At 40.1% G+C, this 23,015-nt stretch overlaps 1 protein-coding gene across 4 annotated transcripts in view; it reads left to right on the forward strand.

Annotated features, from left to right (window-relative positions):
- The window catches only part of ATRN (attractin), a 180,101-nt gene that overhangs the window by 51,406 nt on the left and 105,680 nt on the right, over nucleotides 1–23,015 (forward strand). For all 4 annotated transcript variants that reach the window (NM_139321.3, NM_001323332.2, NM_139322.4 and 1 more), the window contains exons 2-3: nucleotides 12,830–12,913; nucleotides 17,799–17,912. In NM_139321.3, the coding sequence (NP_647537.1) occupies nucleotides 12,830–12,913; nucleotides 17,799–17,912 (198 nt within the window). The remainder of the gene's footprint in view (nucleotides 1–12,829; nucleotides 12,914–17,798; nucleotides 17,913–23,015) is intronic.

Raw genomic sequence — 23,015 nt, forward strand, 5'->3', positions numbered from 1 at the left:
TATAGATAAAACTCCCATCTTCCTGGGACAGAGCACCTGGGGGAATGGGCATCTGTGGGCACAGCTTCAGCTGACTTAAACATTCCTGCCTGCCGGCTCTGAAGAGAGCAGCAGATCTCCCAGCACACCACTCGAGCTCTGCTAAGGGACAGACTGCCTCCTCAAGTGGGTCCCTGACCCCCGTGCCTCCTGACTAGGAGACACCTCCCATCAGGGGTCGACAGACAGCTCATACAGGAGAGCTCCAGCTGACATCTGGTGGATACCCCTCTGGGATGAAGCTTCCAGAGGAAGGAACAGGTGGTAATCTTTGCTGATCTGCAGCCTCCAGTGGTGATACCCAGGCAAATAGGGTCTGGAGTGGACCTCCAGCAAACTCCAGCAGACCTGCAGCAGAGGGGCCTGTTAGAACAAAAACTAACAAACAGAAAGGAATAGGATCACCATCAACAAAAAGGACGTCCATACAGAAACCCCATCCAAAGGTCACCAACATCAAAGACCAAAGGTAGATAAATCCACGAAGATAAAGAAAAACCAGCGCAAAAAGGCTGAAAATTCCAAAAACAAGAACGCCTCTTCTTCTCCAGAGGATCACAACTCCTCGCCAGCAAGGGAACAAAACTGGATGGAGAATGAGTTTGATGAATTAACAGAAGTAGGCTTCAGAAGGTGGGTAATAACAAACTCCTCCAAGCTAAAGAAGCATGTTCTAACCCAATGCAAGGAAGCTAAGAACCTTGAAAAAAGGTTAGGGCAATTGCTAACTAGAATAACCAGTTTAGAGAAGAATGTGAAAGAGCTGATGGAGCTGAAAAACAAAGCACAAGAACTTTGTGAAGCATACACAAGTATCAATAGCCAAATCGATCAAGCAGAAGAAAGCATATCAGAGATTGAAGATCAACTTAATGAAATAAAGCATGAAGACAAGATTAGAGAAAAAAGAATGAAAAAGGAACAAACAAAGCCTCCAAGAAATATGGGACTATGTGAAAAGACCAAACCTGCGTTTGATTGGTGTACCTGAAAGTGATGGGGAGAATGGAACCAAGTTGGAAAACACTCTTCAGGATATTTTCCAGGAGAACTTCCCCAACCTAGCAAGACAGGCCAACATTCAAATTCAGGAAATACAGAGAACACCACAAAGATACTCCTTGAGAAGAGCAACCCCAAGACATATAATCGTCAGATTCACCAAGGTTGAAATGAAGGAAAAAGTGTTAAGGGCAGCCAGAGAGAAAGACTGAGTTACCCTCAAAGGGTAGCCTATCAGACTAACAGCAGATCTCTCAGCAGAAACCCTACAAGCCAGAAGAGAGTGGGGGCCAATATTCAACATTCTTAAAGAAAAGAATTTTCAACCCAGAATTTCATATCCAGCCAAACTAAGCTTCATAAGTGAAGGAGAAATAAAATTATTTACAGACAAGCAATTGCTGAGATATTTTGTCATCACCAGGCCTGCCTTACAAGAGCTCCTGAAGGAAGCTCTAAATATGGAAAGGAAAACCAGTACCAGCCACTGTAAAAACATACCAAATTGTAAAGACCATTGACACTATGAAGAAACTGCATCAACTAATGGGCAAAATAACCAGCTAGCATCATAATGACAAGATCAGATTCACACATAACAATATTAGCCTTAAGTGTAAATGCCCCAATTAAAAGACACAGACTGACAAATTGGATAAAGAGTCAAGACCCATCGGTGTGCTGTATTTAGGAGACCCAACTCATGTGCAAAGACACACATAGGCTCAAAACAAAGGGATGGAGGAGTATTTACCAAGCAAATGGAAGCCAAAAAAAAAAAAAAAGCAGGGGTTGCAATCCTAGTATCTGATAAAACAGACTTCAAACCAACAAAGATCAAAAAAGACAAAGAAGGACATTACATAATGTTAAAGAGATCAATGCAACAAGAAGAGCTAGCTATGCTAAATATATATGCACCCAATACAGGAGCACCCAGATTCGTAAAGCAAGTCTTTAGAGACCTACAAAGACACTTACACTCCCACGCAATAATAGTGGGAGACTTTAACACCCCACTGTCAATATCAGACAGATCAATGAGACAGAAAATTAACAAGGATATTCAGGACTTGAACTCAGCTCTGGACCAACAGGACCTAATAGACATCTACCGAACTCTCCACCCCCAAGCAACAGAATATACATTCTTCTCAGCACCACATGGCACTTGTCCTAAAATTGACCACATAATTGGAAGTAAAACACTCCTCAGCAAATGCAAAAGAATAGAAATCATAACGTCCCTCAGACCACAGTGCAATCAAATTAGAACTCAGGATTAAGAAACTCAGAACTGCACAACTACATGGAAACTGAACAACCTTCTCCTGAATGACTACTGGGTAAATAACGAAATTAAGGCAGAAATAAATAAGTTCTTTGAAACCAGTGAGAACAAAGACACGACATACCAGAATCTCTGGGACGCAGCCAAAGCAGTGTTTAGAGGGAAATTTATAGCACTAAATGCCCACAGGAGAAAGCAGGAAAGATCTAAAATCGACACCCTAACATCACAGTTAAAAGAACTAGAGAAGCAAGAGCAAACAAATTCAAAAGCTAGCAGACAAGAAATAATTAAGATCAGAGCAGAACTAAAGGAGATAGAGACATGAAAAACCCTTCAAAAAATCAGTGAATCCAGGAGCTGTTTTTTGAAAAGATTAAGAAAATAGACTGCTAGCTTGACTAACAAAGAAGAAAAGAGAGAAGAATCAAATAGACACAATAAAAAATGATAAAGGGGATATCACCACTGATCCCAAAGAAATAGAAACTGCCATCAGAGAATACTATAAACAACTCTACGCAAATAAACTAGAAAATCTAGAAGAAATGGATACATTCCTGAACACATACACCCTCCCAAGACTAAACGAGGGAAAAGTTGAATCCCTGAACAGACTAATAACGAGTTCTGAAATTGAGGCAGTAATTGATAGCCTATCAACCAAAAAAAAGCCCAGGCCCAGACAGATTCACAGCCGAATTCTACCAGAGGTACAAAGAGGAGCTGGTACCATTCCTTCTGAAACAATTCCAAACGACAGAAAAAGAGGGACTTCCCCCTAACTCATTTGATGAGGCCAGCATCATCCTGACACCAAAACCTGGCAGAGACACAACAAAAAAAGAAAATTTCAGGCCAATATCCTTGATAAGCATCGATGCGAGAATCCTCAATAAAATACTGGCACACCGAATCCAGCAGCACATCTAAAAGCTTATCCACCACAATCGAGTTGGCTTCATCCCTGGGATGCAAGATGGGTTCAACATAACGGAAATCAATAAACGTAATCCATCACATAAACAGAACCAATGACAAAAACACATGATTATCTCAATAGATGCAGAAAAGGCCTTCAATAAAATTCAACAGCTCTTCATGCTAAAAACTCTAAATAAACTAGGTATTGGTGGAACTTATCTCAAGATAATAAGAGCTATGTATGACAGACCCACAGCCAATATCATACTGAATGGGAAAAAGCTGGAACCATTCCCTTTGAAAACTGGCACAAGACAAGGATGCCCTCTCTCACCACTCCTATTCAACCTAATATGGAAGTTTTGGCCAGGGCAATCAGACAAGAGAAAGAAATAAAGGGTATTCAAGTAGGAAGAGAGAAAGTCAAATTATCTCTGTTTGCAGATGACATGATTGTATATTTAGAAAGCCCCATCGTCTCAGCCCCAAATCTCCTTAAGCTGATAAGCAACTTCAGCAAAGTCTCAGGATACAAAATCAGTGTGCAAAAATCACAAGCATTCCTATACATCAATAATAGACTGTGCAAAAATTACAAGCACTCCTATACATAATAATAGACAAACTCATGAGAGCCAAATAACGAGTGAACTCCCATTCACAATTGCTACAAAGAGAATAAAATACCTAGGAATCCAACTTACAAGGGATGTGAAGGACCTCTTCAAGAACTACAAACCACTGCTCAAGGAAATAAGAGAGGACACAAATGGAAAACATTCCATGCTCATGGATAGGAAGAGTCAATATAGTGAAAATGGCCATATTGCTGAAAGTAATTTATAGATTCAATACTATCCCCATCAAGCTACCATTGACTTTCTTCACAGAATTAGAAAAAACTACTTTAAATTTCATATGGAGCCAAAAAAGAGCCCATATAACCAAGACAGCCCCAAGCAAAAAGAACAAAGCTGGAGGCATCTTGCTACCTGACTTCAAACTATACTACAAGGCTACAGTAACCAAAACAGCATGATACCAAAACAGATATATAGACCAATGGAACAGAACAGAGGCCTCAGAAATAACGCCACACATCTGCAACCATCTGATCTTTGAGAAACCTGACAAAAACAAACAATGGGGAAAGGATTCCCTATTTAATAAATGGTGTCGGGAAAACTGGCTAGCCATATGCAGAAAACTGAAACTGGACCCCTTCCTTATACCTTATACAAAAATTAATTGAAGATGGATTAAAGACTTAAACGTAAGACCTAAAACCATAAAAACCCTAGAAGAAAACCTAGGCAATACCATTCAGGAGATAGGTATGGGCAAAGACTTCATGACTAAAACACCAAAGGCAAAGGCAACAAAAGCCAAAATTGACAAATGGGATCTAATTAAACTAAAGAGCTTCTGCACAGCAAAAGAAACTATCATCAGAGTGAACAGGCAACCTACAGAATGGGAGAAAATTTTTGCAATCTATCCATCTGACAAAGGACTAATACCCAGAATCTACAAAGACCAAATTTACAAGAAAAAAAGCAAACAACCCCATCAAAAAGTGGGCAAAGGATATGAACAGACACTTCTCAAAAGAAGACATTTATGCAGCCAAAAAACATGAAAAAAAGTTAATCATCACTGGTCATTAGAGAAATGCAAGTCAAAACCACAATGAGATACCATCTCCCACCAGTTAGAACGGTGATCATTAAAAAGGCAGGAAACAACAGATGCTGGAGAGGATGTGGAGAAATAGGAACGCTTTTACACTGTTGGTAGGAGTGTAAATAAGTTCAATCATTGTGGAAGACAGTGGGGTGACTCAAGGTTCTAGAACCAGAAATACCATTTGACCCAGCAATCCCATTACTGGGTGTATACCCAAAGGATTATAAATCATTCTGCTGTAAAGACACATGCACACATATGTTTATTGCAGCACTACTCACAATAGCAAAGACTTGGAACCAACCCAAATGCCCATCGATGATAGACTGGATAAAGAAAATGTGGCACATATACACCATGGAATACTGTGCAGCCATAGAAACAAATGAGTTCATGTCCTTTGCAGGGACATGATGAGGCTGGAAACCACCATTCTCAGCAAACTATCACAGGAACAAAACCAAACATTGCATGTTTTCACTCATAAGTGGGAGTTGAACAGTTAGAACACATGAACACAGGGAGGGGAACATCGCATACTGGGGCCTGTTGGGAGGGTGGGGGGCTAGGGGAGGGACAGCATTAGGAGAAATACCTAATGTAGATGACGGCTTGATGGGTGCGGCAAACCACCATGGCACGTGTGTACCTGTGTAACAAACCTACATGTTCTGCACATGTATCCCAGAACTTAAAGTATAAAAACAAACAAAAAAACCAGAAGGCCGGGCGTGGTGGCTCACACCTGTAATCCCAGCATTTTGGGATGCTGAGGTGGGTAGATCACGAGATCAGGAGTTCAAACCAGCCTGGCCAAGATGGTGAAACCCCGTCTCTACTAAAAATAGAAAAATTAGCCGGGCATGGTGGTGGGCGCCTGTAATCCCAGCTACTCAGGAGGCTGAGGCAGAGAATTGCTGGAACCCAGGAGGCGGAGGTTGCAGTTGACCGAGATTGCGCCATTGCACTCCAGCCTGGGCAACAGGGCGAAACTCCGTCTCAAAAAAAAAAAATGTGGTACATATACTCCGTGGAATACTACCACCTGTAAAAATGAATGCAGTTGTGTCCTTTGAGCAGCATGGATGCAGGGAGGCCATTATTCTAAGTGAATTAATGCAGTAACAGAAAACCAAATACCACATACTCTCACTTACAAGTAGGAACTAATCATTGAGTACACATGGACACAAGGGAGCAACAGACACCGGGACCTGCTTGAGGGTGGAGAGTGGGAGGAGAGTAAGGATTGAAAAACTGCCTTTCAGGTATTACGCTGATTACTTGGGTGATGGAATTATCTGTACATCAAACCCCTGTGAAACCTGCACATGGACCCCTTGAACCTAAAATAAAAGTTAGAAAAAAGGGCAAAAATAATAACAAGCACATTACAAAATAATATGTGCAGATGATCAGTAAACACCAGAAAGGGTACTCAGAATCTTTTTTATCTTATTTTTTTGAGACAGTTTCTCCCTCTGTCATCCAAGCTGCAGTACAGTGGCACCATCTTGGCTCATGGCAACCTCTGCTTCCTGGGCTCAAGCAATCCTTCTACCTTAACCTCCCAAGTAGCTGGGACTACAGGCGCATACCACCACACTTGGCTAAGTTTTTTGTGTTTTTGTAGAGACTAGGTTTCACTATGTTGCTTAGGCTGGTCTTGAACTCCTGGGCTTAAATGATCCACCTGCCTTGGCCTCCCAAAGTGCTGAGATTATAGACATAAGCCACTGTGCCCAGCCTCTGAAAATCTTTAAATATCAGAAAAATACAAATTTATACCATAATGAGATAGAATAGTGCATACCTACTGGAATAAGCAATAAAAAGTCTGATTATACCAAATGTGGGAACTGATGTGGAATAAGTAGAACTCTCATATCTTGAAAATGTGATTGTAAGGTGGAAACAGTTTGGCAGTTTCTTAAAAATTTAAGTGCATATCTATACTTTAATCCAGTGATTTCATTTTGTATATTTATTCAAGAGAAATGTAGATACCTGTCCACAGAAAGATTTATACGTGTCTTAACTTCATTTATAAAAGCCTATAATTACGTAATCCAAGTGTCCACCAATAAACAAGTTGTGTATTTTCATACAAGAGAATACTACTCAGCAGTGTGAAGGAGCAAACTATTGATACAATACTTAGAAAAGTTATGTTGATAAAAAGAAGCAAGACACAAAAGTGTCTTTGATTCCATTAAGTCAAATTCTGTAAAACTGATCTATAGTGGGAAAGATAAGATCAATGTTTGAGGTGGAGGTTGGGAGAGATTACCTGGAGAGGGATATAAGAGAGCTTTTGGGGGTGAGGAAACTGTTTTATATCCTGTTTGAGGAGATTACACTTTGTGTATACATTTGTCAAAGCTTATCAAATTGTACACATCAGTGGCTGCATTTTATTATATGTAAATTACTTTTCACTAAGATTGATTAAAGATTTGGTTGGAAGGAATCAAATTGGTATAGCAGTCACTAAACTAAATGCAAACAGATTATATATTGTGGCAGTAAAATACTGTCAGGTTAGTTTAAGAAACAAAACCTAACCAAGTCCTGTTTCGAAGAAGCAAACTATTGAAAACTTGATAAGTAAAGCTGAAAATAAAAGAGTTGAATAAAGATGTAAGATACAGGAAAATAACCAAAAGATCAATAATTATAATAATATTAGACAAGGTGAAATTTAAATATCAAACTAGGTAAGTGGATTGTTAACATCATAAAAGGCATATTTTATGAAAATCCAATAGCCATAATCTTGTATGGCTAAAAAGCTTAACACATAAAGCAAAAATAATCTGAGTAGTGTGGTAGAGCAGGCATGGTATGAGATTTATATATATATATAATATATATATTAAAAAATTATATATTATATATATATGTTTTTTTCTTTTGGAGACAGAGTTTTGCTCTTTCTCCCAGGCTGGAGTGAAGTGGTGCGATCTCAGCTCACTGCAGCCTCTGCCCCACAGGTTCAAGCGATTCTCCTCCCTCAGCCTCCCGAGTAGCTGGGATTATAGGCACTTGCCACCATGCCTGGCTAATTTTTTTTTCTTTTTTTTTTTTGTATTTTTAGTAGAGATGGGTTTTTGCCACGTTGGCTAGGCTGGTCTCAAACTCCCGACCTCGTGATCCACCCACCTCAGCCTCCCAAAGTGCTGGGGATTACAGGTGTGAGCCACTACGCCTGGCCAGGATTTCAGTACATGTTTATCAGAATTAGGTCTAGTAGATGAAAATACGAGTATAAGGAATTGAATAGTGCATTTAATAATCTTAATCATATGTGTATAGAAATAGTGTTTTAAATTCCTGGAATAGATCTTTTTTTAATGTCCAAGGAACTGTGGTCAAAGTTTAATGTCCAAGGTACTTGACCATAAAGAAAATCTTAACAGATGAGAAAAGTTGAGATTTTATAGGCTGCGTTGTCTGGTAATAATACTGGTAAAGTAGAAAGAAATAACTATGAGACGAGTCCTTTGAAACCTGCCTCCTGTTCCCCTATTCTCCCTATATTTGTTTCCACTGCAGAATTACCTCAGTATTCTTGAACTAAGAAATTGGTGGTGGCAAGGTCTTTATTCTTCATATTTTAGCCTTACATTATTGAAATGCCTTTCAGTTTGATGCCTTTGTGTGACTGCCAGTGAACTAGGTTTTCCTAGTGTACAGGTGTTGCCCATGCCCACACCTAGATTATCAATGATACTGTAAAACTTGACCTGAAATTTTAGGTTGATATTCCTGGCCTTTCTCTTTCAAATTCCTTTAAACTTTTAGTAACCACTTGTTGGCCATTTATTAGAACACAGGGAATTTTGAATTAAAAACTCACATAATTTAAAAGAAACAGGAACACCTAGTGCTGAGAGGATGTGGGGAATAGCATATTCTCATACATTGCTGGTGCAAATGTGAATTGTTACAGCCTTTTGGAAAATAATTTGACAGCTTGGTTAACAATTAAAATTCATATTCCTTTTGGCCTAGTATACCTCCTCCTAAGATTTCTACTCTTAGACATAAAAGCCCAAGTAAGGCCATATGTATAGGGATATTTATTGCAGTGATGTGCATATTGTCAGTCAACTGAAAACAAAATGAACATTAGTAGGGAAAGGCAGGAAAAAGTGATACCTCCATAGGTGGGATACTATGCTACATAAAGAAAAAATAAATTAGACTAATACCAGATTAGTTTGAGAAATTTCCGTAAGGTTTTGTTGAGTGAGCAAAGAAAGATGCAGAAAAGTATATAATAATTTGTGTAACCAAAAAATAATTTAAGAGAACCATGCCTATATCATAGGCTCATGAGTATGAAGAAAAGTATTTAAGAATTCCTGGTAGGTGGTTAAATGTTTACCTTGGTCAAGGGTGGGTCAGAGTAACTGGGGAAGTGGGTTAAAACAACAACAACAACAACAACAACAAGATTCGTCTGTGATCATATCTATGCATTATCTGTAAAATTATATAAATATGTATGTTTAAAGATACTAAGTAAACATTTAAAATAAAACTGACCTGTTTCCCAGCCTGGACAACATAGCAAGACTCATCTCTAAAAAACAAAATTAATTAAAATAAATTAGCTAGGCATAGTGGTGTGTGCCTGTAGTCTCAGCTACTCCAGAGGCTTTGGTAGGAGGATCACCTAAGCCCAGGAGTTTGAGGCTGGAGTGAGCCATTGAGCTTGCCACTGCACTCCAGCCTGGGTGTCAGTGTGAGATTCTGTCTCAAAAACAAAAAACAAAAAACACAAATATTTGTTTTATAAAACTGATGCTGATTTGCAAACCTAAGTGTTCACGTGAAGTCCACTGAAACTCTTAGGAGCAGAAGCAGCATAGTGGAGAGCCATAAAACCTTTTATATTAGGCCCCAAGACAAAGAATCAAGGAAGTGTGTACACACACACGGAATAAAACAATAACCAGTGGGAAATTTACCTAAGAAACTAGAAGCCTAGAGTAAGGTGGTTTTTGTGGGTGGTTGATACTGTTTTTCAGGGACTTTGCATTCCTTTGATTTGTCATTCTTGGTGTTGGCTTTGTGTTCAGGCATAGCACAGGCGTTGTGTTCAGGCTGTAGTACTTCCAGCTGTAAAATCCAGCTATAGCAAAGTCCAGATAGAGAAGAATGGTCTCTTCTTGGATGTTTATCATAGGTTGTTTTTTAAAAAGCATTTGCTAAGGCTGAGTTTGGGTTACAACTTGATTATAGTATTGTAGAGGAAGGTGTTATTGGAAGGAAAAGCATAATTAGGCAAAGGAAGAAGTTGAGCTCCAATGCAGGCCTGACAAAGGGGAACTGTGGGGGCAGGATTGCTTATTTGAGTTGTCCCATGTTGGATTGAAATGCTTGGGCCTTTATACTCTTTTTTTTTTTGAGACAGAGTCTCACTCTGTCGCCCAGGCTGGAGTGCAGTGGCGCGATCTTGGCTCACTGCAAGCTCTGCCTCCTGGGTTCACGCTATTCTCCTGCCTCAACCTCCCGAGTAGCTGGGACTACAGGCGCCCACCACCACGCCCAGCTAATTTTTTGTAATTTTAGTAGAGACGGGGTTTCACTGTGTTAGCCAGGATGGTCTCGATCTCCTGACCTCGTGATCCACCCGCCTTGGCCTCCCAAAGTGCTGGGATTACAGGCGTGAGCCACCACGCCCAGCCTATGGTATGGGCCTCTTCATGGTGTGGGCTGCCATGGGAAGGGCATGACCTGTAGCAAGGCAGCCCCTGAAGGAATTGATGTTCTGCTGACCACATTCCCTGCTGCTGCTGGCAGCAAGTCCTTCCTTGAAGAGGAGATCTAGGTGGCATGTCTCCCTGTCCACACACTTTCCTAAGAATAAGAAAATATTTCCTGGAAATCATCCATCAGATGTGCCCTCACATCTAAGTATTAGATTACATTCTGTGTCAGAGATTCATGGTTACACATCATAGCCTTTTTCTACTTCTCTAGTAAAAAGAATTCTGATTTTTTGATGGGTACATGATCATCTGGGATAACGGCTGCATTTTTCAGCCTTCCTCTACTTGTAGACATGTCAGTAACTTCTGGCTAATCGAATGTAAGTTGAATTTTCATGTGTGACTTAACAGAGGGAGAGAGGGTGTACCCCCCCGTTTTCTTTTCCTCCTTCCTGCTGGGTAGAATTTGGGTATAATAGCTGGAGCTTGAGCCGCTATCTTGGATTATGAGGTAGAAGCCACATGTTGGGGATGACAGAGCAATAGTATAGAACAGCATTAGGTCCCTGATGATCATGGAAATGCATTGCATGCTCTGGATTGCTTATCTTTGGGTTTTTTTTATCTTGGTGGTTAGTCCATTACTATTTAGGTTTTTCTGACAGTTGCATTAAAGCCTAATCTTTTTTCTACATCTATATCTATATATGATGTATATCTATATCTATATAGATACATATTCTTTTTTAAAAATAGATATGAGGGTGTTGCTGTGTTGGCCAGCCTGATCTTGAACTCATGGCCTCAAGCAGTCCTCCTGCCTCAGCCTCCAAACTGCTGTGATTTCAGGCAAGAGCCACCATGCCTGGTCCACACCTAATTTTAATTGATACAGATTTCTAATCAGTCAGTGGCAAGGGGCATGGGAAAACATGATTGGCTTCGACTAACATTTTGGGGTGGAATGGATTTTGGGGAGTAGGGCATGGATACATCTCTATCAGGCAAGTACAGCAGAGGAAGAGAAAGGCAAGAACATCAGGGAGTTTGCAGGATATGATTCTCGTGATGGATTATGGAGTCTTAACTAGGTATGTGAGAAAATGAAATGTGTGGATGGTAGGTGGTGAACAGTGAAGAAATGATAGTTCAATGGATTGGTGGTCTCCATGGGGCCAAAGTCTCATTGGAAAGGGGGAATAAACTGGAGAGATGAGATAGTAGTCAGAGGTCAGGGTGCTTTTTTTGTGGTAATGTTGTTACTGGTAATAGCAAGGGCCAGAGAAGGGGATGGCTAAAGAGGGGTGGAGGAAAAGATAGTTAATGGTGAGGTTAAGAAATGGAGAGACTGGATTTTGGATGGAACATCTTAGATGTTGATGCAGATGAGTGGAAGAGAGTGAACGATTTGTTAATATCTTTAGTGCATTAGGAGTAGCTGGGAGATGACTCAGAAGGTAAGGGAGGCAGATCCAGAAGCGAGCATGTGTTCAGAGTGGCTGATGTTAATGAAAGAGGGAAGAAAAATATCTGGAAACAGCCATGATGAAGGAAATAGCGTCCTTCTTAAATATTAAACATTTTTATATAGTAACAGATACTTGCTGGTGGCAGTGCTCATGCCTGTAAACCCAGCATTTTGGGAGGCCAAGATAGGAGGATTGCTTGAGGCCAGAAGTTCAAGCGTGGGCAACATCGTGAGACTCTGTTTCTACAAAAAATAAATTTAAGAAATTTATCGCTGGGTGTGAGGGCTCAAGCCTGTAATTCTGGTGCTTTGGGAAGCCGAGATGGGAGGATCTTTTGAGGCCAGGAATTTGAGACCAGCGTGGGCAACATAGCGAGACCTGTCTTTACCAAAAGGAAAAAGGATGACATAAAATTAAGATAAGATTTAGGTATGTTTTGTTCATTCCTGTTGGTTTTAATATTTTTCTGTCTTCTTTTTTAATGTATGCAATAAGTATTTGTTTCATCTAAATTTATGCAATCTGAATATAACTAGTCATTTTCTACTGGTTATAGTGTTTGTTAATGTACCCATTATGTTTAATTTGTATTATATTAAGAATTAAGAAATATTAATATATGAAAATATATAAAATATATAAAAATATATGAAATTAATATAGCAGACTTAAGTTTTCTTTCTTGATTTAAATTACAGACTAACTGGATCTTCTGGGTTTGTGACAGATGGACCTGGAAATTATAAATACAAAACGAAGTGCACGTGGCTCATTGAAGGACAGTAAGTAGAAATGGCTGACTTAATTTTTGTTTTTTTAGCATAGAAGTCAGTGTGACATTAGTTTTCCCACAAGTAAAATTAACAATCTGTAGCATAAAGTTCTTAAAACATTACTTGATAACCTTTCATTTGACAAGTGAATTTTATCTTAGCCTTCATTAATTTAAAAGTTTCATGTTGATTTAATGCTGCAAATGAATTGTACACACCACAAATTTGTGTATTTCCAACTGTAATAGTTCAGAAACGGTTACACACACACACACACACACACACACACACACACACACATATATATTTATTTATTTTTATGGGACAGAGTTTTGCTCTTGTCACCCAGGCTGGAGTGCAGTGGCGTGATCTCCGCTCACTGCAACCTCCGCCTCCCAGGTTCAAGCGATTCTCCTGACTCAGCTCCTGAGCAGCTAGGATTACAGGTGCATGCCACCACGCCAGGCTAATTTTGTATTTTTAGTAGAGAAGGGGTTTCACCATGTTAACCAGGATGGTCTCGAACTCCTGACCTCAAGTGATCCGCTCGCCTCAGCCTTCCAAAGTGCTGGGATTACAGGTGTGAGCCACTGCGCCCAGCCACGGTTCCATATTTTTAATGGTTTGCTTAAAGCATTAGAAAATTGCAATATTGTGTTATTTTTCTAAGTATCTATTTTTGTTGTGGATAAGAAAATTGTAATAACTGTTATTGCCTAAATGATCCCTTCTCTGGACCCACTGTGTCCCTCTGGCTGTTGGCCTTTTTTCTCCTTGTCTTCATGGGAGACTTTTAAAGCAGTACTTCTCAGACTTTTTTGGTCTCAGGACCTCTTTACACTTTTAAACTTTGAGGATTCCAAATAAGTTTATTTATTATTTATTTATTTATTTATTTTGAGATGTCATCTCGCTCTGTGGCCCAGGCTGGAGTGCAGTGGTGTGATCTTGGCTCACTGCAACGTCTGCCTCCTGGGTTCAAGCGATTCTCCTGCCTCAGCCTTCCAAGTAGCTGGGATTACAGGCATGTGCCACCATGCCCAGCTAAGTTTTTGTATCTTGTAGTAGAGACAGGGTTTCACCATGTTGGCCAGGCTGGTCTCGAACTCCTGACCTCAAGTGATCCGCCTGCCTTGGCCACACAAAGTGCTGGGATTACAGGAGTGAGCCACTGCACCCGGCCCCAAATAAGTTTATGTTTTTCTATTTGTGTTCACCATATTAGAACTTACAACCAAGAAATATTATTTATTCATTTAAAAGCAACAATTATAAGCCATGTTAGTACAAATGATATTTTAATGAAAAAAACCCTATATTTAAAAAATTGTAGTGAAAAAATGGCATTGTTTTACATTTTTGCAAATCTCTTTAATGTGTAGCTTAATAAAAGACAGCTGGATTGTCATATCTTCTGCATTCACTTTGTTGCAGTATGTTATTGTGGTTGAAGCGTGTCAAGAAGATGAGGCCTCACTTGAATATGAAGTAGGAAAAAAGAGATTTTAATAGTACAGTATTTTAAAATTATTGTATATAGTCTTCTTTGATACCATATCAAAACTTAACAAGTAGTAATTTCTTAAAAGTAAATTGCAGTATGGAATCTGAAACTATGTTAAGGAACTTTTGGTACTTGTTAAATTAAAATCCATTGGTTTTCTTGCACTGAATGGATCTTTTGCCCATCCATATTTTGGTAACATGATATATAGGTCATTTGGAAAACAACAGGTCATTGAATTATGCAGATCTTCCATATGTTGATATATTTATTCCATTACATAATATTTTAAAAATCACATTGGTTAGTATCCCCATCAATCTCCTCAAAAAGTTCTAAGTATGGCAGTTAACAAATTTTCCAAAATTCTAATTACTACTTGAAAGCTTGTATTTTATCTTTGGCAGCAAATACTGTCAGTTGTTTTCTTTGAAGTGGCAGGCTTGCTTTCCTCATTTTTAAGAAAATGTCTGCCAGATATCCAACTCTGAATAACCGTAGTTTATTGATTGTTCTTTCAAGTAAACATGGTAAATGGTGTTCTAAGAAAAAAGTAGCTAGTTCAGCTAGCAACTTAAACAGTTGCAAAAGTGGTTTTCATTGAGAAAACCACTGTGCTTCTATTAAGCAAAAGAAGTGTTTTATATATTTTTTTCTTGTTTTTTTTTTTACATTTTTTTATTTTATTTTTTTATTATACTTCAAGTTCTAGGGTACATGTGCACAACGTGCAGGTTTGTTACATATGTATACATGTGCCATGTTGGTGTGCTGCACCCATTAACTCATCATTTACATTAGGTATATCCCCTAATGCTATCCCTCCCCACTCCCCCCACCCCACGACAAACCCCGGTGTGTGATGTTCCCCTTCCTATGTCCAAGTGTTCTCATTGTCCTATTCCCACCTATAAGTGAGAACATGTGGTGTTTGGTTTTCTGTCCCTGCAATAGTTTGCTGAGAATGATGGTTTCCAGCTTCATCCATGTCCCTACAAAGGACATGAACTCATCCTTTTTTATGGCTGCATAGTATTCCATGGTGTATATGTGCCTCATTTTCTTTATTTTATTTTATTTTATTTTATTTTTTTATTATTATTTTTTTCATTTCTTTTTTTTATTTTTTAATTTTTTTATTATACTTTAAGTTTTAGGGTACATGTGCACATTGTGCAGGTTAGTTACATATGTATACATGTGCCATGCTGGTGCACTGCACCCACTAACTCGTCATCTAGCATTAGGTATATCTCCCAATGCTATCCCTCCCCCCTCCCCCCACCTATTTACTCTCCATCTTGTCAGAATATTAAAGAGATGTCTACTAACTGGTGAGGATTTAATAACATTAGAAGTTTTTAACTGCTTAATCAAGATATCCTTAAATGAAACTGGCAGCTTTTCTTTTTTCTATGAGTGGTTCGTGGTGAAGAATAGCAGTGATCACTAGTACCATTTGCTGCTGCTGTCTTGATTTGTTCTAAGATGCCCACAGTTTCACCCACCATTTCTCCTTGAACCATTAGTAAATGCCAGCATGGTTATAAAATATATGCTATCTTAGTTTTACTGTGAATATAGTTTTGACCTCCTGGGACCTCCCATAAGGGTCTCAGGGCCTGTAGCATTTTGTGGACTTCATTTTGAGAACTGCTGCTCTAAGGAGCTCTGCTGTGTCCTATCAGTTCATTGCCACCTGACACCCTCCTCCACTGTTTTTCTGAATGTGCTCTCAATGGTTGTTCCTCCTCAGTGTAAGTGAAAAACTAAGCAACAAACTCTCATTCCCCCTTTTCCTTATTCCCTACATTTAGCCTGTCAGTAAGTTCTGTCAGTTTTCCCTTTGGAATGTCTCCCCAATCCATCACCAGACTGCTTTTCACCTCCATCTCTACAGCTGGGAGACCCACCATCGTCTCTCTCCTGGGCCACTTAATAGCCTTGAAATTGGCCTCCTGAGTTCTGCTTTTGCCCCTTGCCCACCTCCCACTTCTCATCTCTTAAGGTTTTCTCTGTTTGCTGTGTTTCAGATATGCTGATTTTCTTCATGTTGCTTGGACACATCAGCCTCTTTCTCCCTTAAGACTGTGCTGTTCCCTCCGTCTGAAACGTTTTTCCCAGCACTTTTCACATGGCTTGTCTCTTGTCATTCTCACATCTCCAAAGCTTACTGGCCTATCTCCCTACGACTTTTTGCACTGCCACATCACCTTCTTTTAATTTCTTCACAGTACTCATCACCATCTGAGTTTACTTGTTTATGTATTTATTTAGTTGTCAACCTAGAGATGTTAGAAAAGTGTGGGGTATAGGAAAGTTCTAAACTGGAGAAATAGAATTAGGCATCAGCAGGATATAATGATGTTGATATTCCCAGAGCTTTCTGAGTGGAGTGTTGGGCTGAAGCCAGGCTAGAGAGTGAAGGGGTGAGTGAGATAGAGTCACTGGAGGAAGCAAAGTCTTCTGCGAAGTTTTACCTTTTTAGGAGGAGAAAGGGTAGGGCAGGTATTTGGTAGAGGGAGAGTTGGGATTTGAGGCTTTTTGTTTTTATTTTTGTAAAATATGTGATACTTAAGCAGATTTGAATGTGGATGCAAAAGTTCCAGATGAGAGGGAGATGTCAAATACTTGAGAAACAGAAAGAGAAACAGAAAGAGAATTTTGGAAAATGGGAATTTTAGGGTTTTTTTATCTGGTTGCTGAGCATAAGCAGGGAGGTGGGACTGGGTGGTTTGAAATAGTCGTTGAGAGTAGCAGTTGTGGAGAGGGAGAGAGAATTGGTAGGACTGCTGGCAGAATCTAAGTGCCATTTGCAGTTGGAGAGCAGAGACCATTGCTGGAACCAGTCTACCCAGTGGTGTGGTATAGAAGTTTGGCTTTCTTCAATACAGCTTAGTTTTGTTTTTTTTTTCCCTCCACCGCCCCCTCCCACTTTTTTTTTCCTGGTTCAATCTTAGAGCAGATAACTGGTTTCCTGTACAACAGAGCTTTTGCCAGCCAGTGTCCTGAAAAATCAGAGGGGCTGGCAAATTTAGAGGATTGGCAGGCATGTTTATGAAATGACGTAGTGTGGAATCTGAAGTTGAATGAGGAAGTGCAGAAATGGAAGGGCTAATGGGTTGGTTCAGAAGCTGTTAAAGAGTGGCCACTGAATGGACTGTAAGGCCCAGAATCATGGACCACATCAGTTTTGTTTCCCATTGCATGTTTAGTAGTCTCTTGTACTTGGAGAATACTAAATAAATCTTTGACAAATGAAGGAATACTGGTGGGGCAGTTGTTAGACTGTGTTACATATTATTAATTTAAAAATCTGAATTTTTATATTCTCAAATGTCTGATAGTTGTGATAACTTTATTATAAATTACTTTTTTTATTCTTTTCAGGCCAAATAGAATAATGAGACTTCGTTTCAATCATTTTGCTACAGAGTGTAGTTGGGACCATTTATATGTTTATGATGGGGACTCAATTTATGCACCGCTAGTTGCTGCATTTAGGTAAGCTCAGTCTTACAAGCCTTCTTTCATCGTTTGATTTCTAAATTTAAACATATCTTCTGGATTGCATTCTTACTGGGTTCACCTTTATTATCACTTAACACATTTATTTAATGGAAAGAATACTAGTTCTTCAGTCCCATCACTTGTGTGTTAGTGCTAACTTGGTTTCTGTAGCCCTGGGTAAGTTTCTAGGCATAGTACTTGACTTCTCTTTTCAGTGCCCTGATCTGTAAAATTGTGATAGTTCTATTAAGTTCACCTGCTCCTTGTGGTGGTGGTGAAGTTTATCATTACAAAATGTTTTGAGAGTGATATATTGAATGATACTATTTCTGTGAAAAATTTAAATCAGGAATAATATCCATCATGTTCCTTGTGTATTGCCCACTGCATAGGCCTTCAGGAGTTATTTGTTGAATTCAAATATAATTGTGTGCGTGTGTGTGTGTGTATGTGCATCATGAGTGAGGGAAACTTTTTGGAACAGTACATATAAAATGAACAGTGGCTACCTGTGGAGAAATGAGGAACATACTTATTATATATATTTTTTTTCAATAAGTACATTTACATTAGTAGTTAAACAGAAGCAGTTTAACACCAAATATATGGACTGTTCTGAATTGTTTGGGTGTTTTACTTTTGATTAGCAGCAAGTAGCTGTGTTGTTTATTATGTTTTTGGCCACATTGGAATTCAAAACTATCTCTAGTTTTCTTCCTTTTACATGATAGAGGATTTTTTTTTTTTTTTTTTTGAGACGGAGTCTCGCTCTGTCGCCCAGGCTGGAATGCAGTGGCGCGATCTCGGCTCACTGCAAGCTCCGCCTCCCGGGTTCACGCCATTCTCCTGCCTCAGCCTCCCGAGTAGCTGGGACTACAGGCGCCCGCTACCACGCCCGGCTAATTTTTTGTATTTTTAGTAGAGACGGGGTTTCACCGTGTTAGCCAGGATGGTCTCGATCTCCTGACCTCGTGATCCGCCCGCCTCGGCCTCCCAAAGTGCTGGGATTACAGGCGTGAGCCACCGCGCCCGGCCTAGAGGATTTTAAGATACAGTCATGTGTCACTTAGCAGCAGGAATAGGTTTTGAGAAATGTGTTATTAGATGATTTCATCATTATGTAAACATTATAGGGTATATTCATACAAATAGATGGTATAGCCTACTGTACACCCTGCTTATATGGTACAGCCTATTGTACCTAGGCCACAAATCTGTACAGCATCTTACTGTACTGAATACTGTAGGTAATTGTAACCCAATGGTAAGTATTTGTATATCTAAACATATCTATACATGGAAAGGTACAGAAAAAATACAGTATTACAATCTCATGCAACCTCTGTCATATATGTGGTCCATTGTTGACCATATGTCATTATGTGGTGTATGACTGTATATTTTCCTAAAATGCATTTCCCCTTAGGAAACCATAGTTTTCAGTTTTTCACCTGCAACTGGCTTTCTAAATTTCTTTGTCTCAAACATTTTATTTCCTTTACTTTAAAAAGAAATCAGTTCAACAAATATTTTTTGTGTTTCTCACATGGGGCTCATCTGGCTGATGTCCCATGTGGATGAGGGAGGTAACAGAGAGCAAACAGTACACAAGGACAGGAGATCAGGCGACTGTTGTGCCCTCGTGTTTTTCTACCCGCTTTGGCTTAGAAATCTCTCTGACATATCTTTGAACTGAGAACCAAGGCCATTTTCTGTGTTTAGAGGTTCACTTACAAGGCCAAAGAGCAGGGTGGATGGCTGTGCTGAGCATTTAAAATGGCATTGGCCAAGTGTTGGAGTGTATATGTTTATGCCAGCATTTGAAACATAACTTGTAGCAAAAAGCACCCCAGACCTTAATACAAGCCCCAAAACTAAGTGTGATGTTATCATAATAGTACTTGTTGGGGATTCACTTGTTACTGTGTTTGTTAATCAGAATTCACAGAGCTCTTGTTGTATGCCAGGCACTTTGAATCAGCTTATCAGGAGCCTTGTAGGAACATGAGCCAAGCAGGTATACATCACTCTGTGGTTCACCTGGACTGTGTATTTGATAAACAGTGGTAGCGGTGGTAGAGCAGAGAGAGTGGTTGAGAAAATTCTTCAAAAGAACATTATTCCTTTTAGAGTTTTTTTTTTTTTTTAGGAAAGTTATATGCTGGTGGGGCAGTTGTTAGACTGTGTGATCTAGAGGAACCCTTCCCCTTCCCCCTTCCACCTCCCCTTCCCCTTTCTCCTTCCCCTTCTCCCTTCCCCTTCCCCCTTCCCCCTTCCCCTTTTCCTTCCCTTCCCCTTCCCCTTCCCTTTTCCTTTTCTTTCTCCCCCAGGCTGGAGTGCAGAGGCAGGAACGTAGCTCACTGCAGCCTCAACCTCCTGGGCTCAAGAGATGCTCCCACCTCAGCCTCCCCAGTAGCTGGGACCACAAAAATGCAACACTATGCCCAGCTAATTTTTGTATTTTTTTTTTTTTTTTTTGTAGAGACGGGGTCTCACCATGTTGCCCGGGCTGGTCTTGAACTCCTGGGCTCAAGCAGTCCTCCCACCTTGGCCTCCCAAAGTGTTGGGATTACAGGTGTGAGCCACTGCACCCGGCCGAAGATTGCTTTTGACATACCTGTTTCCAGGTGGCCCTGATCTTGTCAGTACTTATTCCTTCTGCATTTCAAGGGATTCTGGTGTATATAACCAGTGAAAGCCTGATGATGGTTAACCCTTCATTTACATCTCCAATCAAATGTCACCTCTTCTAAGAGGCCTTCCTTTCACCCTTTCTAAAGTAGCACCTTCTGTTCTTTCCCTCTGCTCTCTTTCCCTTCATAGCATTTGTCTCTACCTGGCATTACGTATACACACACCTGTGTGGGGAGTATCTGGGCTTATCTGTTGTTTTTCTAATGTGAACTACATGAAGGCAGGGACATAGTCTTATTCACTGTTGTATTCCTGGTACCTAGAACAGTGACTCACATGTAGTAAGTGCTTAGTAAATATTTGTTAGTTGAATACATAGTAGAAAATGCATCACTGTTTTGTAACTCCTGGAGCACCAGAGTTTCAGAGTTCCTAGAGTTCTGTCTTCATATTAAAAATTGAAGGGCGAGGCGTGGTGGCTCACACCTGTAATCCCAGCACTTTGGGAGGCCGAGGTGGGCGGATTGCCTGAGGTTAGGAGTTCAAGACCAGTCTGGCCAACATGGTGAAACCCCGTCTCTACTAAAAATACAAAAAAAATCATCTGGGCATGGTGGGGTGCGCCTGTAATCCTAGCTACTGAGGAGGCTGAGGCAGGGGAATTGCTTAAACCAGGGAGGTGGAGGTTGCGGTGAGCCGAGATTGTGCCACTGCACTCCAGCCTAGGTGACAGAACAAGACTCGGTCTCAAGAAAAAAAAAAAAAATGAATGAAGGGCCAGGCACAGTGGCTCAGGCCTGTAACCCCAACACTTTGTGAGGCCGAGGCAGGAGAATTACTTGATCCCAGGAGTTCAAGACCAGCCTGGGCAACAGGGTGAGACCTCATCTGTACAAAAAGTCTTAAAAATTAACCAGCCATGGTGGTGTGTGCCTGTAGTCCCAGTCACTCAGGAGGCTGAGGTGGGAAGATTTCTTGAGCCCAGGAGGTCAAGACTGCAGTGAGCTGTGATCATGCCACTGCACTCTAGCTTGGGCTAGACCTTGGGTCTAGCTAGACCTTGGGTGAGACCTTGTCTCAAAACAAAGCAAAACAAAAGGAACGAAAATCCCTTCCCCTCCTCATTTTCATTCCTTGCTTATGGATTCTTCCAGCCATTTTTGTATGCATTTATATAGGTATGTGTAAGTGTACACATGTACGGTCCATTGTTTTGCAGCTTGCTTCTCCCCCATGCCCTTATCAGAATGCCTGTTGAGCTTCTTGTTAGTCCCGCAGACCTAGGTAATATGCAGTGACTCATGCAGTCAGATTTCTGGGCATGAGCATTTAGATGGGTTTCAACCTGTTGCCATCTGAACAGTGCTGTGGTTCGCATTCTTGTATATTGGTCATCGTGTACATGAGCAAGTATTTCTTCTACAAAGAAATAGAATTGCTAGGTCAGAGTGAATGAGCATGAGGTTGTGTGTCTGGGACAGATTGCGTAGGGCCTGGCAAGGATATAGGCTTTTACCAAATGTGGTGGTGGTGGTGGTGGTGGTGGTGAATCAATAATGGGGCAAAAATCATGGACATATGAAGAAATGCAACAGCAGGTAGACATAAGAAAAACAATTAACCTCAGGAGTAAAAAGAACTCAGAACCACAATTTAAAAATTGCTTTTTACTTATTAAATTAACAAAATTAAAATAGAACTAGTAGTCCTTGCTGTTGGCAGAGTGAAGTGGGATGGACCCTTCATTCTGTATTGATACGATTTCAAATCACATATCTCTTCTGGAAAGCAAGTTGGTATTATGGCTCTAGAGTCTTAAAGGCATCATTTAGACCCTTTTACTCAGTAAGGTTTTTTTTTTTTTTTTTACCAGTCACACAACAAACATTTAGAATCCGTCATGTGCTGGGTTGTGAGTGAGGTCTTAAGAAGAACCTAGGGAGCTTTTAATGATATAGAAAATGCGTTAAGTTTTATTTGTAAAATGGAATATACAATGTAAATAACATCAATTAGGCTAAGAAAATGCATCAGAATACTAACAGTGTTGGAGTTATGGGTGTTTGTTTAGCTTCTTCGTATTCTTATATAAATATTTTATATAAAATATCTTGGGCACAATGGCTCACGCCTGTAGTCCCTACATTTTGGGAGGCCGAGGTGGGTGGATCACCTGAGGTCAGGAGTTCAAGACCAGCCTGGCCTACATGATGAAATGCTGTCTCTACTAAAACTATAAAAAATTAGCTGGGCATGGTGGTGGGCACCTGTAATCCCAGCTACTCAGGAGGCTGATGCAGGAGAATCGCTTGAACCCCGGGACGCAGAGATTGTACTGAGATTGCACCACTGCACTCCAGCCTGGGCAACAAGAGCGAAACTCTGTCTCAAAAAAAAAAAAAAAAACAACAAAAACCTCATGTCTTTCAGCAATATATGTGTGGTATTCATCACTCATAAAAT

The sequence above is a fragment of the Homo sapiens genome, chromosome 20 (assembly GCF_000001405.40).
Source record: "Homo sapiens chromosome 20, GRCh38.p14 Primary Assembly".
Taxonomy (NCBI): Eukaryota; Metazoa; Chordata; class Mammalia; order Primates; family Hominidae; genus Homo; species Homo sapiens.